The 16004-nt window shown below is 37.0% G+C and overlaps 1 protein-coding gene across 14 annotated transcripts in view, besides 1 other annotated feature; it reads left to right on the top strand.

Annotated features, from left to right (window-relative positions):
• Nucleotides 1–16004, top strand: part of PKIB (cAMP-dependent protein kinase inhibitor beta) — a 254453-nt gene that overhangs the window by 210629 nt on the left and 27820 nt on the right. The window lies entirely within an intron of this gene.
• Nucleotides 13378–14577: an enhancer, noted in NCBI's record as "BRD4-independent group 4 enhancer chr6:123017072-123018271 (GRCh37/hg19 assembly coordinates)". NCBI's record gives its function as "activates an origin of replication core promoter dependent on BRD2, P300/CBP, MED14 and CDK7 cofactors, and independent of BRD4, by STARR-seq in HCT116 cells {active_cell/tissue: HCT116}" and the evidence as "EXISTENCE:reporter gene assay evidence [ECO:0000049][PMID:35650434]".

Below are 16004 nucleotides of genomic sequence, written 5' to 3' on the forward strand. Positions count from 1 at the left end.
TTGGCATAAAACCTCAATAAATATAGTTGTAACTTTTATACCTCAGGATGTGCCATATTTTTTAGTATTACCCATACAGAGTGTTTCTGACAACCCTCAGATTCTATTAATCTATCCTGGGTGCTGCCCATCACCTCTCGTCTGCTGCTCTGGTCTCTCTGCTCTCTTCCAAAGAGAGACTTCTGCTGTCTTCCAAAGCTTCTTGAGCCTGCTACAGTTCTCTCTGGTCCACGTCCTCCTGGGATTGTTCTCAGCAATTTTACTTTACTGTCCAAAGCAAAGACATCACTAGGATGATTATGGTGCATAGTAAACTTTACCAAGCCCTGAGGATAACATGAGAGAATTATAGTGCAGAAATGGGAAACCTGGAATTGGTTATTCAACATCATTACTAGAGTTCATTGGTTGGGCCCATTCACAAGGGTCCCCGGTTGATTGGCCCTTTCCTTACTTTGTAACCTGTTTCAGGTGTCTGCTCATCTCCCACAGGCAAGGTTGATTTAATTATGTGCTGCCTCCCTGGAATCGAGTCAATAATTCTCTCTGCACATAAATCAGTACACATTATGATTATTAAAATTTGGCAGTTATGGAATTCAGAGCCTGTATTGGGCTGTTCTTACATTGCTATAAATACCTGAGAATGGATAATTTATTAAAAAGATTTAATTGGCTCATGGTTCTACAGACTGTACAGGAAGCATGGTGCTGGCATCTACTTGGCTTCTAAAGAGGCCTCAGGAATCTTCCAATCATGGTAGAAGGCAAAGGGGGAACAGTCATGTCACATGGCAAAAGGAGGAGCAAGTGAGAGAGTTGGAGGGGTAGGTGCCACACTCCTAAATTACCAGATCTTGAGGGAATTCACTATTAGGAAGAGAGTACCAAGCCATAAGGAATTCACCCCCCATGATCCAAACACCTTCCACCAGGCCCTGCTTCTAGCATTGAGGATTACAATTCAGCAGAGATTTGGGTGGGGACAAATATCCAAATTACATCAGACGTCAATGAGTACAACTTTGAAATCACATCAATAAGGAACTTTTATCATTCAGAATATTATTGTTCCAAAGTGGAGTTCTCATTTAACCAAGTCTCCTCTACCCCAACAATCTACTCCCAAGCAAGATGGCTTTACCAATGTAGTAAATCAGTTTTTTCGTAAAGCCTTAAAAGAACACAGACTGACTTCTAAGCAAGACTCAAGGGCAAGAAATGTACATGTCTTTCCCTAATAGACCTTACAATCAGAAACTTTCCCCTAAACTAACAATAAGGCTATGATATGATCCAGCCATCACACTTCTGGATATTTATTCCAAAGAATTTAAATCAGGATATTAAAGAGATATTAGCACTCCCATGTTCATTACAGCACTATTCACAGCAGTCAAAATGTGAAAACACTTAATTGTTCACCAATAGGTGATTGGAAAAAGAAAATGTGGTATATTTATACCTTCAAAAAGAAGACAATTCTATTAAGTATGACAACGTGGATAAACTTTGAGGTGAAATAAGCCAGTCACAGAAAGACAAATGCTGCATGAGCTCACTTACATGAAGCACTTTAAATAATCAGATTTGTAGAAGCCAAGAGTGGAATGATGGTGGTTGCCAGGAGATTGCAGAACAAGGAAATGGGGAGTTACTAATCAATAGGCATAAAGTTTCAGTAAACCAAAATGAGTAAGCTCTACAGATCTGCTGTACAACATTGTACCTTAGTCAACAATACAGTATTCTACACTTAAAAATTTGTTAAGCACCTAGATCTCATGTTAAGTGTTATTTTTATCACAATAAAATAAAAATTGGGAGGAAAAAAACACTTTCCCCTAAGCACAATAAAGACCTAGCCCTCAATCTACCTTTCTCTTTCACATCTACCTTTCTCTTTCACATCTCCCCCAAACAGAGGCTGGGCCTTTTACCTTTACAAATCACACCACCATGTCCACTAGTAATCTGATGTTAGAAACTGATGTTTATTCTTGAAAAAAATTATAGAAACCACCATTATCTTATAAGTTTGCCCTAGAAGTCCAGTGACATGAGCTTTAGACTGGATTTTCAAATTAATCAGATGATTAGTCATACCAGCAATCTGGTCTCCTATATACATCTTTGAAAATAGACCGGCTTTTTTGTTTTTAGTTTTGTTTTGTTTATTAATGAGCTGATGATTAAAATTTCTTCTAGCTCCAAAATTCTCAGATATCTACAAATTACACATTGATTGTCACTTGTTTTGTTTTCCTCTTGACTGCCTTTAATAGCATTGATTAATTTGGCTTTGCATCAATTCTCTTAAGTTGTAAAATAAGAAAAATAAACTGGATAAGGTATGCTTTGGTCAAGGTCAGATACACATGTGAGTCTCTTATGTAAAATGTACATTGCAATCTTAAAAATTAGTCTATTGAAACATTTCTATAAATTTTTTAAATTGAGAAAACACATTTATTAATTTTCTTCCAGCTGCTAAACTTCTCAGATTATTGAAAATGTGTTATGAAAAGTTAGTCACTTGCCCCCGGTCATAGACAGTGATAGAATTAGGAACTGGATCCTATCACTATCTTTAATTTAAGAAATGAGATCATCATGAATTAAAGGGGGAGATTGTGCCAAAGTGTAGGTAATACCAAAAAGCTGCAGTTTTAAAAAGACTAAAAATTCTATTGGCATTTATAATTACTACAGTGTATATAAGCAATAGAGATAAGAATGACCCAATTTGTATTTCCCAGATAAATCTCAAGGCAAGTTTTAAAAAGAATTAAAAGAAAGAGAAGAATCTTAGGTTCAAATGAGTTTACATCATGCATAAACACAGCAGCAAAATGCCCATTCTATTTGGCCTCAGTTGGACAACTGCCTATAAAAAAAGAAATACTCAAGGAAAATTTCTGCTGTAACTGGGCTAGCTTTTTAAAATTAATTAATTAATTAGTTTTTATTGGCTTTTTATTTTTAATTTTTGTGGGTACATAGTAGGTGTATATATTTATGGAGAACATGAGATATTTTGATACAGGCATGCATCAGGGTAAATGGGGCATCCATTACCTCAAACATTTATCCTTTGTGTTAAAAACAATCTGATTACACTCTTTTAGTTTAGAATATAAAATTAAATTATTATTGACTATAGTCATCCTGTTGTGCTATCAAATACTAGGTCTTATTCTTTCTATATTTTTTTGTACCCATTAACCATCCTTTACTACCATCCCACCACTAACCCATGATCCCCTTCCCAGCCTCTGGTAACCATCCATCTGCTCTCTGTCTCCGTGAATTCAATTGTTTTAATTTTAGCTCCCACAAATAACTGAGAACATGCAAAGTTTGTCTTTCTGTGCCTGGCTTATTTCAATTAACATAATGTCTTCCAATTCCATCCATGTTGTTGCAAACGACAGTATCTCATTCTTTTTATGGCTGAATAGTACTCCATTGTGTATAGGTATCACATTTTCTTTATCCATTCATCTTCTGATGAACACTTAAGTTGTTCCAAATCCTAGCTATTGTGAATAATGCTGCAGTCAACATGGAAGTGCAGACCTCTTTGATATATTGATTTCCTTTCTTTGAAGTATGTACATTGCAGTAGGATTGCTAGATCATATGGTAGCTCTGTTTTAATTTTTTGAGGAAACTTCAAAGTGTTCTCCACAGTGATTGTACAAATTTACATTCCCACCAACAGTATATGAGGGTTCCCTTTTCTTCTCATCCTCACCAGCATTTGTTATTGTCTCTCTTTTTAATAATAGCTATTTTAACTGGAGTAGGATGGTATCTCATTGGTTTCTATTTGCATTTCTCTGATAGACGAATGATATGGAGCACCATTTCTTATACCTGTTTGCCATTTGTATGTCTTCTTTTGAGAAATATTTTTTTTCAAATCTTTTGCCCATTTATATATATATATATTTTTTATTTTTCGAGAAAGGATCTCACTCTTTCATCCAGGCCTGAGTGCAGTGGCATGATCATGGCTCGCTGCAGCCTTAACTTCCTAGGCTCAAGCAGTCCCCCCACCTCGCCTCCCAAAGAGCTGGGGCAACAGGCAGGTGTCACCATGTCCAGATAACTTCTTTAATTTCTGTAAAGATGGAGTCCCAGTAGATTGTCTTTTGAACTCCTGTGCAGAAGTGATTCTCCTGCCTCAGCCTCCCAAAGTGCTGGGATTACAGGTGTGAGGCACCACATCCAGCCTTTTTTGCCCATTTTTAATCTAATTATTAATTTTTTCCTATAAAGTTGTTTGAGATCCTTATATATTTTAATTATTAATCTCTTGTCACATTGGTACTTTGTAAATATTTTATCCCTTTCCATGAGTTCTCTCTTCACCTTGTTGATTGTTTCCTTTCCTGTGAAGAAGCTTTTTAACCTGATGTGATCCCATCTGTCCATTTTTGCTTTGGGTGCCTGTGCTTGTGAGTTATTACTCAAGAAATCTTTGCCCATTTCAGTATCCTGGAGAGTTTTCTCAATGTTTTCCTTTAGTAGTTTCATAGTTTGAAGTCTTAAATTTAAGTCTTTAATTCATTTTGGTTTGATTTTTGTGTATGGCAAGAGACAGGGGTCTAGTTTCACTCTTCTGCATATGGATATCCAGTTTTCCTAGTACCATTTATTGAAGAGACTATCTTTTCCTTAGTATATGTTCTTGGCACCTTTGTTGAAAATGAGTTTACTGTAGATGTATAGATTTGTTTCTGGGTACTTTATTCTATTCCATTGGTCTATATGTCTGTTTTTATGCTAGTAGCCTGCTGTTTTGCTTACTGTAGCTCTGTAGTATAATTTGAAGTCAGGTCATGTGATTCCTCTTGTTTTGCTATTTTTGCTTAGGATAGCTTTGGCTATTATTCTGGTCTTTTGTGGTTCCGTATAAATTTTAGGATAGTTTTTTCTATTTCTGTGAAGAATGTCATTGATATTTTCATAGGGACTGTATTTAATCTGTAGATTGCTTTGGGTAATATGGACGTTTTAACATTATTGATTCTTCCAATCCACGAACATGGAATATCTTATCATTTTTTGTGTCCTCTTTAATTTCTTTTGTCAGGGTTTTAGTTTTTATTGTAGAGATATTTCACTTCTTTGGTTAATTCCTAGATATTTTAATTTTAGCTATGGTAAATGAAATTACTTTTTTGATTTCTTTTTCAGATTATTAAATCTTGGCATAAAGAAATGTTACTGATTTTTGAATGTTGATTTTGCATCCTGATATTCTACTGAGTTTATCAGTTCTAATACTTTTTGGTGGAGTCTTTAGATTTTTCTAAATATAAGATCATATCATCTGCACACAAGAGTAATTTGACTTCTTTCTTTCCAATTTGGATGTCCTTTTTTTTTTAAATTTTATTTAATGGCTCTAGCTAGGACTTCCAGTACTATGTTGAATAACAGTAGTGAAAGTTGATATCCTTATTATATTCCAGATCTTAGAGGAAAGGCTTTCAGTTTTTCCCCATTCAGTGTAATGCTAGCTGTGGGTGTGTTACATATGGCTTTTCTTATGTTGAGGTATGTTTCTTTTGTATCTGTTTTTCGAGGGTTTTTATCATGAAAGGATGTTGAATTTTATCAAATGCTTTTTCAGCATCAATTGAAATGATCATATGTTTTTTTGTCCTTCATTCTGTTAATATAATGTATCACACTGATTGATTTGTGTATGTTGAACCATACTCTCATCCCAGGGATAAATCCCAGTTGGTCATGATGAATGAAACTTTTAGTGAAGAGTTGAATTGGTTTGCTAGTGTTTTGTTGAAGATTTTTGGATTGATATTCTTTAGGGATATTGGTGTGTATTTTTCTCTTTCGGATGTGTCTTTGTCTGGTTTTGGAATCAGGGTAATATTGGCATTATGGGATGAATTTGACAGTATTCTTTTCTTCTGTTTTTTTTGGAATACTTTGAGTAGGACTGGTATTAGTTCTTCTTTAAATGTTTGGTAGAATTTAGCAGTGAAGCCATTGGGTCTCAGGCTTTACTTTACTGGGAGACTTTTTATTATGGCTTCAGTCTTGTTACTTGTTATTGGTCTGTTCAGGTTTTGTATTTCTTCATGGTTCAATCTTGATAGATTGTATGATAGATTGCATGTCTAGAAATTTATCCATTTCTTCTAGATTTTCCAATTTATTCCATATAGTTACTTATAGTAGCCACTAATGAGCCTTTCTTTTTTTTTTTTTTTTGAGACAGAGTCTTGCTCTGTCGCCCAGGCTGGAGTGCAGTGGCGCGATCTCGGCTCACTGCAAGCTCCGCCTCCCGGGTTCACGCCATTCTCCTGCCTCAGCCTCCCGAGTGGCTGGGACTACAGACGCCCGCCACCACGCCCGTCTAATTTTTTTTTATTTTTAGTAGAGACGGGGTTTCACCATGTTAGCCAGGATGGTCTTGATCTCCTGACCTCGTGACCCGCCCACCTCGGCCTCCCAAAGTGCTGGGATTACAGGCGTGAGCCACCACACCTGGCCGATCCTTTCAATTTCTCTGGTATTGGTTGTAACATCTCCTTTTTCATCTCTAATTCTATTTATTTGGGTCTTCTCTCTTTTTTTCTTAGTCTGGCTAAAGGTTTGTCAATTTTGGTTATTTTTCTAAAAACCGAATTTTCGTTTTATTGATCCTTTGTGTTATTTCTTCATTTCAATTCCATTTACTTCTGCTCTGATGTTTATTTCTTTTCTTCTACTAATTGTGGGTTCAGTTTTCTCTTGCTTTTCTAGTTCTTTAATATGCATCATTGAGTTGATCACTTGAAATTTTATTCTTTTTTGATGTAGGTGCTTATTGCTATTAACTTCCCTCTTAGTACTGTTTTTGTGAATTCCACAGGTTTTGGTATGTTGTGTTTCCATTATCATTCGTTTCAAGAAATTTTTCAATTTCCTTCTTAATTTCTCCATTGATCTACTGGTCATTTAGGAGCATATTGTTTAATTTCCATGTGTTTGTATAGGTTCCAAAATTCCTCCTGATTTCTAGTTTTATTCCATGGTAGTCAGAGAAGATGCTTGATATTATTTCAATTTTTAAAATGTTTTAAGACTTGTTCTGTGGTCTAACATATGGTCTATTCTTGAGAATGTGCAGTATGTTGAGGAGAAAAATGTGTATTCTGCAGCTGTTGGATAAAATGTTCTGTAAATATTTATCAGGTTCACTTGGTCTATAATGCAGATTAAGTCCAATGTTTCTTTGTTGATTTTCTGTCTAGCAGATCTGTCCAGTGCTGCAAGTGGGATGTTGAAGTCTCCAGCTATTATTATGTTGGGAGTCTATCTCTCTCTCCAGCTCTAATAATATTTGCTTTATATATCTAGATGCTCTAGTGTTGGATGCATATATATTTAAAATTGTTATATCCTCTTGCTTAATAGACCCCTTTATCATTATATGACCTTTGTTTCTTCCTATAGTTTTTGTCTTGAAGTACATTTTTTTTGATATAAGTATAGTTACTCCTGCTCTTTTTTGACTTCCATTAGCATGGAATATCTTTCTCCATCTTTATTTTCTGTCTGTGTGTGTCTTTGTAGGTGAAGTGTGTTTCTTATAGGCAACAGATCATTGGGTCTTTCTTTTTTTTTTTAATCCATTCAACCACTCTGTGTCTTTTTATTGGAGAATTTAGTCCATTTACATTCAATGTTACTATTGATAGGTAAGGACTACTCTTGCCATTTAGTTGTTTTCTAGTTGTTTTGTGGTCTTTTCTCCTTTCCTGCGTTCCTTTTAGTGAAGATGATTTTCTCTGGTGGCATAGTTTAATTTCTTACCTTCTATTTTTTTGTGTATTTGTTGTATGTTTTTTGATTTCAGGTTACCATGAGGATTGCAAATACTATCTCATAACCCGTTATGTTAAACTGATGACAGCCTAACACTAATTGCATAAACAAACAAACAAGCAAAAAGAAATCTAATAAAAACTCTATACTTTAACTTCCTCTCCCTGCTTTTTTAAGTTTTTGATGTTTCTATTTATATCTTACTATACTGTCTATGTCTTGAAAGGTTGTCTCAGTTATTATTTTTGATTGGTTCACCTTTTAGTCTTTCTACTTAATATAACAGTAATTTACACACCACAATTTCAGTGTTATAATATGCTGTATTTTTCTGCGTGCTTATTAGTAACAGTGAGTTTTGTACCTTCAGGTGATTTCTTCTTGCTCATTAACATTTCTTTTTCTTTCTGATTGAAGAACTCCCTTTAGTATTTCTTGTAAGACAGGTCTGGTGTTGATGAAATCCTTCAGCTTTTGTTTGTCTGGAAATGTCCTTATTTCTCCTTCATGCTTGAAGGATATATATATATATATATTTTTTTTTTTTTTTGCCAAATATACTATTCTAGGGTAAAAGGTTTTTTTCCTTTAGCCCTTTAAATATGGCATGCCACTCTCTCCCGGCCCTAAATTTTCCACTGAAAACCCTGCTGCCAGACATATTGGTGCTCCATTATATGTTATTTGTTTCTTTTCTCTTACTGCTTTTAGGGTTCTTTCTTTATCCTTGACCTTTGGGAGTTTGATTATTAAATGCCTTAAGGTAGTCTCCTTTCAGTTAAATATTCTTGATATTCTATAACCTTCCTGTACTTAGATATTGATATTTTTGTTTAGGTTTGAGAAATTTTCATTATCTTTTTGAATAAACTTTCTACCCCTGTATCTTTCTCTACCTACTCTTTAAGGCCAATAACTCTTAGATTTGCCTTTTTGAGGGTATTTTCTAGATCTTGTATGAGTGCTTTATTCCTTTTTATTCTTTTTGCTTTTGTCTGCTCTGACTGTATTTTCAGATAACTTGTCTTCAAGGTCACTAATTCTTTCTCTGCTGTATCAATTCTGCTATTAAGAGACTCTGATGCCTTCTTCAGTATGTCAATTTTATTTTTCACCTCCAGAATTTCTGCTTGATTCTTCTTAATTATTTCAATCTCTTTGTTACATTTAACCGATAGAATTCTGAATTGCTTCCCTGTGTTATCTTGATTTTTTTTTTAACTTTCCTCAAAACAGCTAATTTGAATTCTCTGTCTGAAAGGTCACATATCTCTTTTTCCCCAGGATTGGTCCCTGGTAGCTTATTTAGTTCATTTGGTGAGGCCATGTTTTCCTGAATGTTTTTGATGCTTGTGGATGTTCATTGGTGTTTGGGCCTTGAAGAGTTAGGTATTTACTGTAGTCGTCTCAGTCTGGGCTTGTTTTTACTTATCCTTCTTGGGAAGCCTTTTCAGGTATTTGAAAGGATTTGGGTATTGTGATCTAAGGCATATCTGCATTACAGGGTACCCCAAGCCCAGTAACACTGTGGTTCTTGTAGGCTTGTAGAGGTACCACATTAGTGATGTTCAATAAGATCCAGAAGAATACTCTGTATTACCAGGCAGAGACTCTTGCTCTCTTGCTTTACTTTCTCCCAAACAAACAGAGTCTCCCTGTCTGTGCTGAGCTGCCTGGAGCTGGAAGAAGGGTGACACAAGCACCCCTGTGACCACCAGTGCTGGGACTGCTCTGGGTCAGATCTGAAGCCAGCATTGCATTGAGTCTTGCCCAAGGCCCGCTGTAACCATCCCCTGTCTATAGCCTATGTTTGCTCAAGGCCCTAGGGCTCTACGATCAGCCAGTAGCAAAGCCAGTCAGACCTGTGTCCTCCCTTCAGGGCAGTGAATTCCCTGGCACATTGAGTGAATTCAGAGATGTCAAATGGGAGCCAGGAACTGGAGTCAAAACCTCAGGAATCTGTCTGTTGCTCTATTCTACTACAGCTAAGCTGGCACTCAGACCATGAGACAAAGTCCTTCCCACCTTCCCCTCCTTTCCACAGCCAGAGGAATCTCTCTCTGTGGCCACCACCACAGCCCCATGGGGAGTACTTCCAGGCCATTGCTTATTTTCACTACTTGCCTAAAGCTCTTCAGTCAGCTTGTGGTGAATGCTTCCAGGCTTGCGACTCACCCTTCAGGGCAGTGGGCTCCCATCTGGCCCATGGCAGGTCCAGAAATGCCATCCAAGAGCCAAGGCCTAGAATTGGGGCCTCACAAGGCTGGTTGGTGCTCTACCCCACTGTGGTTGAGCTGGTACCTGATTTTTGGTTCTTATAAAGGTGTAGATAGTTGTTAAATTAAATTGTTGTTTCTGTCAGGGGGACAATAGGTAGAGGCTTCTATTCAGCCATCAAGATCTATCCCTCATCTGGGCTACCTTATTTTAGATTAAAAATACATCAAAGAAACATTATGTTTCAGACTACATAAAGCCTTCTGATTTATAAGTTACTAGGAAACAAGTTTTGAATTTTAATCTTGGCAATTAGCAATACTTTAAATTATAAAGACTATTCAAGTTAAGAGAAGGTAGGCACCTCTGCTTTCTCTCCACGTTCCATAGAGGATTTGCTGAGGATAAAGGACTTGCATTTACATGCAAGTACATAAAAACAAGACAAGAACCAATGCATATCTGCATTGTTTTTTAAGATTTCCACAACTGTAATTGGGGCTTCTGAAAATGTAGAACATTCTATCCTCTGTACCCTGTGACGTATAATTAATTTCAGGGTCCAGCAGACCCCAGAACACAAGGCTTCAAGGTTTTCTGAAACTTCAGTACTCTAGGGTGTAGTACGTAGCTTGGAAGTTAGAGTCAACTAACTGTTGACTTTCAATGTTTCCATACTTCCTTTACTCCCCACCGCCCCCTGCTAGTGAGAATATTTAAAATTATCTTTAATTATACTAATTTGCAAATTATGACAAGCTGAGTCAGCTTTTTAGTATTTTCTTCAGCTATTTGAATTATGATAGATTTGTGGGAATTTTCTCATACTAAAATTCTTCAGCATCCTTAATCAAATGTCAAAGGACAATATTTGAAAGATCTGATGTGGAATGAACAAACTGGCAGGATGACTTGAAAGGTTTTTCTTGGTTCAGACATGCTGCCTAATATATAAATATGACAATACTTAAAATGCCAACAGAACACTTTTATGAAGTTTGATAACATACACTTTCTCTCCCCATAGACAGGATCTGCAAATGATGTGGACTACACAGTGTCAGATCAATGTTAAGTTCACTTGGAAAGCACTCAATGAATATTTTCTATCTACTTTCCACCCTTAGAATCTGTTCTTGCCTCTCGGGAGATTTTAGTCTTCTGGGGAAAAACCATTACCCACAGAGAATGTTTAGTGAACATCATATTAAACTGATTTAGTGGTGAACTTCAGGGTTGATTATCAGAGTGAAAAGTAAAAAACTCTAGGAGATGACTGATCTAGACAAGGCCATCAGCATATATCCTGACAGGGCAGGTATTGAGAAACTTAATTTTGAGATTTAAATTTTTAATTTACTACAAGGCAATTTTAAATAAGGTCTGAAATTGGATGAGTAGGCTTCCAAGGTCGTGCGTATGCATTTCTACACTTTGTTAAAACCACAGTAAATAGTCCATTCATTTGGGTATATATGCAGTTAGATCCTGAAGATACTTAATCAATGGATTTATGTGGCTTACCCTCACCCCCAAGAGTATTACTGGAGAAAGATGGAGGAGAATGTTGCCTAACCTTTACTCCAATTCATTATTCTCAAACTGTGTGACCACAGTTACCTAGGGTGCTTGTAATGCATATGATGTCAGACATACTGAATCAAAAATTCTAGGGAAGGTATCTGGAATCTGTATTGCTAACAGACTTCCCAGCTGAGTCTTATGAACAGAAGTTGGGGAAACACTGTCCTGGTTTAAATGGCATAAGATTAATTTTCAGTAAATAGGTGTTTTATTCAAACTTGCTTTATCTCTCTTGTATTTCTCCCCATCTCCCACGTTAAGATTTGTAAAAAAATCTTAGGAAGAGCTAATTTGCTTTAAATTCACTTTTTCAGTCTCCAAGCTGGCACAGGTGAGATAAAGTTTTCTCAATTTTTTTTTCTTCTCCTTTCCACAATTTAATCAAGTGTTAAAGTGAAAAATCTGGTTCTTTGTGGAGTGGTGCATAAGAAAAAAGGGGAATTAATTTACACTGCCTGGTGTCAGGATGTAATATGATTATGATGGCAAAGCTATAAAAAGAAAATATCCAAAGCTCATAAAAAAATTCGAAGGAGGTCACTGTTAGAGCAGATGGATGGAGCAGAGTGCCTGATCATTGAACGGCTACTGAGCTAAAAGGATATTCAGGTCGAGGTGTACATAGCTGGGAGAAGGTCACAAATCTTAATTAAAGCTTTCAAGGGGAAAGTCCTGGATTTGACAGTAGATGCATATTGATTTGTCTTACTGTATAGAAATGACTAAAAGGACTGGTAAATAGAGTGTAGTCAGCTGTCAATTTCAATTACCCTGAGGGAATCTAATACAGTAGAGGGTTCCTACGCTGCATTCTTTGGAGCCTTCTCTCCTTTGTAACCAGAAAATACCCTCTCATGAAATGCAAACTTATTTTCAAATTTTAACAAAAAAGCTACAAAGATCAAGTGCATTAAAAAATCTAACATTAAGCCAAAAAACAGGATTATTAAACAAAAATTTATATTGACCTCAATATTTTTAATGAATTCTGCCAATTGTTGAGACATGAAAGGTAAGCTAGGAGGCAAAACTAACACACCTTAAAAACAACCAAATATTTAAATTATATTAGATAGGATTATACCACCAATGAGAGAAGTATTTGTTTCTGTTTTATTCTGTGAAAGAATTTTATGACACCTAAATGTGTGTGTGTTCATGGATTACACATATTATATACATTATTGTATTGTATGTGTATTACGTAATAATAGGTATAGAGAACAAAAAATAAGTTTTTTCAAAATTATGCACATTATTCAATTGTATGATCTTTAAGATTCAAAAATGAATTAAAGTTTTCATATCAGATGAATTACTGAAACAATATTTTGGGTTCGCTGAAACACTATGGTGAATATGCGGTTCAAAGAAGAAAAATATTCTTGTTGAAATGATTCAGGCATATTGTAGATGGCTGTACTAGGTGACTTTTAGGTGACTTCTTTATAACTTTATAAAGTTATTTTAGTCTAATCTCTTCTAAATTTATAAGGGCCTATGACTCTAGAAAAGGCAATATAATGAAATTTTTTAAAATCCATGTTTTGGAATCCTATGTGACAGGGCTTAAATCCTAGCTTAGGGCAAGTTTCTTAATATCTAAAAGACTCTATTTCAGTTGTTTCTTTTGAATTGTAGGGAATCTATCTCTCCTCTCTCTTCTCTCCCTCCCTCTCTGACATCTGTGGTAAAGATTAAATAAAATATTGCATATAAAGCCATGTACAATATATATTAATAAAAGCCACTGCCTAGCTAAGGGCCCAATTAAGAGTAGCTGTTCTACCTGTGTATGGCTGATAACATTTTTAGTTATCAACTGAGATTTCTTTACTCCTTTATACTTGCTTTAATACTCTATAAAGGTGGTTCACTGAGGGATGATGCACTTAATCTAGAACAAACGATCACTTAAGTTTCTGTTTTTTAAAATCTAAACAAAGAGCCATAGTCTTGAAAGTCAGCATTATTTATGACAATAGCCTGACTTTTTGAAAGAAAAGATTTATTGAGCTATCTGAAACTGAAGAACTGAGAACAAACCGTAGAGTGGGAATTACTATATGATGATGTAAAAGTTTTGATGTTTCTGGGAAGGGAAATGAGTCATTGACTAGCTAGTGGGAGAAGAATTCAGGATGTAATGAGACCCCAGTCATTATTCAAGTCTCTGTGAAGGTGGCCAGGATTCCAGCTCACTGGGTTGAACAGAAGGGAGATTGAATAATAAAAATTCTAAGGAACATCCAAATGTAAAGAGGACTATCCCTCACTTCCCAGGGAAAATTTGGGTATCAAAAAGAAGCTCTCTTTGTATGTTCTTCGACCCTAGAAAGGTAGACAAGCAATGGTCAAGAGAAGTGCCCAGGCAGATGGGCCTGACTGCCACCTCACAGAGTTCTCAGCCCCTCAGAGGAGTGAAACTCTGAAGTGATTTCATGGACCTCATGGAGGGCATAGAATGATTTAAATAGACCGTCAACCTTAAAGTCCAGAGATGTAACAAAGAGGATGCAGATGCACATATCTCTACCTGAGGTAATAGTTATACCTGAGACAATAGCAGTGGATCCCTGTGCACACTGATGTAACTGGACACATTGCAGCTCAGTGAGGGTCAGCGTGGACACAGGATATGTGTGAACCTGATGCCTTTTCTCCACACTTCAGTCTCCCTTTCATGAGAGAAAGGAACATGCTATTAGTGGTAGGGTGTCTTAGTCACCTCCTATTTACCCTGTGGGTGAGGGAGAGCTAAACACCACCTGACCCTGAAGAGATGAGACCAACAGCAAGTTATTAGTCATGTCTACTGATGGCCTGGGGGAGGAGGACATGGCACACCTTGCAGGGCCACACAGGAGTTGCACTCAAGAGCAGAGTGAACAACCAGGTCTGTAGGAGGTAGCCTTTGGAGAATTAAGAGGGTAGGGTGCTCCCAGTTCTTGTGGAATGATGTGATTCACTTGTTTGATTTGGCAGGCAAACAGAGAACAAAACCTGCTACTCAAGGATAAATAGAAACTGTGCCTGGTCCCCTTCATAAGGATGGTGGTCTGTCTAGGATACCTGATCTATGGGAGGAGAACTTGTAGTTAGGCCATTAGAGACCTGTTTTATCAGATATCAAGCCTAAATTTTTGGCTTTATGCTACAATTGATCACTTGATGCTTTGACATCAGTTTAAATCTTGATGATAACTGAGACTTTTAGGGATTAGGAGATGTGCCTTCCTAGGAAGCAAAGTAGGCACCTGACCAAGCAGAGAGGGCCACATTTTGAGGTGGTTGCCAAAAACATGAACTTCGGGCATGTCTCCATATATAACCAGTAAAAGCAATTGAGAGACCTGTGTGACATTGATGTAGAGAGTGGATGCTCCCAGGGGGTGTGAATTGAGACTAACCAATGCTTGTGGCAGTGGTGACATCAAGGGGGTAGAGGGACATTTGTCTCATTGTGACTTAAATAGTTCTTTGAAAACCCATTAGGCTTATCAATTAAAGTAGCTGCCTGGGGCTAACTACCTGAGGCCTATGGGAAGGCTGCATTTCAATGGAAAGCTTTCTTCAAGATTCCATTGTGTATTCTGAGACATAAAATGAGTGCCTTGGTAACAATCTAGTGTCTAAAACTGCAAATGAGATAAGGAATATCCTGTTGAGGCCTTGTATTGTGGCCTTAGGATATGTAGAGAAACCTGTTGATTTGGTTTATATATTTATATTTGGGTACCTGTGAAACAAGAGATTCACAGAGTTCTTTAAAGTGAGACCCTTAGGCAATGGTCTAAGAGTTGTAAAAATATACATATGAGGTGAAATGGCCAGGGCATCCATTGCCAAGATAAATGTCTAGAGTGTGCCAATTGTGCTGACCCTTGGGTTCTATTCTTTATCAGGGACATCTTGGTTAAGGAATTAAGAGCAACAACTCTCTACTGAGCTCTATCATGTATAATTGTGGCAACATCATTGGTAAAATGTATGGCCTTCTATTGCCATTCATTCAGTTGATCCCAGGGGGCTCTCCAGGTAGCCAAGGACTCTAGGAAAGGGATGACTTCCCCTAGCACCATGGTTTTGGCAAAGGACTGATGGTAGAGGAGGCCACCACCTTCTACAGATAGAATATGCCAGAAGGGCCAAGCTTGACTCCATCCTGTCGCAAAGAGGTCTCATAGCTAGGCCAGATTCATGGGGGTGCTGCTCCAATGCATTACCAGGCATTGCAGTAGCTGGGTACAGAGGGTCACAGGCTCAAAGTCTGTGAGACCCTCTATTTCCAGAAAAGCCCAGTGTGTGGCCAGTAATTGCCACTGTAATGGTGTATAGTACAAGGCCAGGAAAGG

The sequence above is a fragment of the Homo sapiens genome, chromosome 6 (genome assembly GCF_000001405.40).
Source record: "Homo sapiens chromosome 6, GRCh38.p14 Primary Assembly".
NCBI lineage: Eukaryota > Metazoa > Chordata > Mammalia > Primates > Hominidae > Homo > Homo sapiens.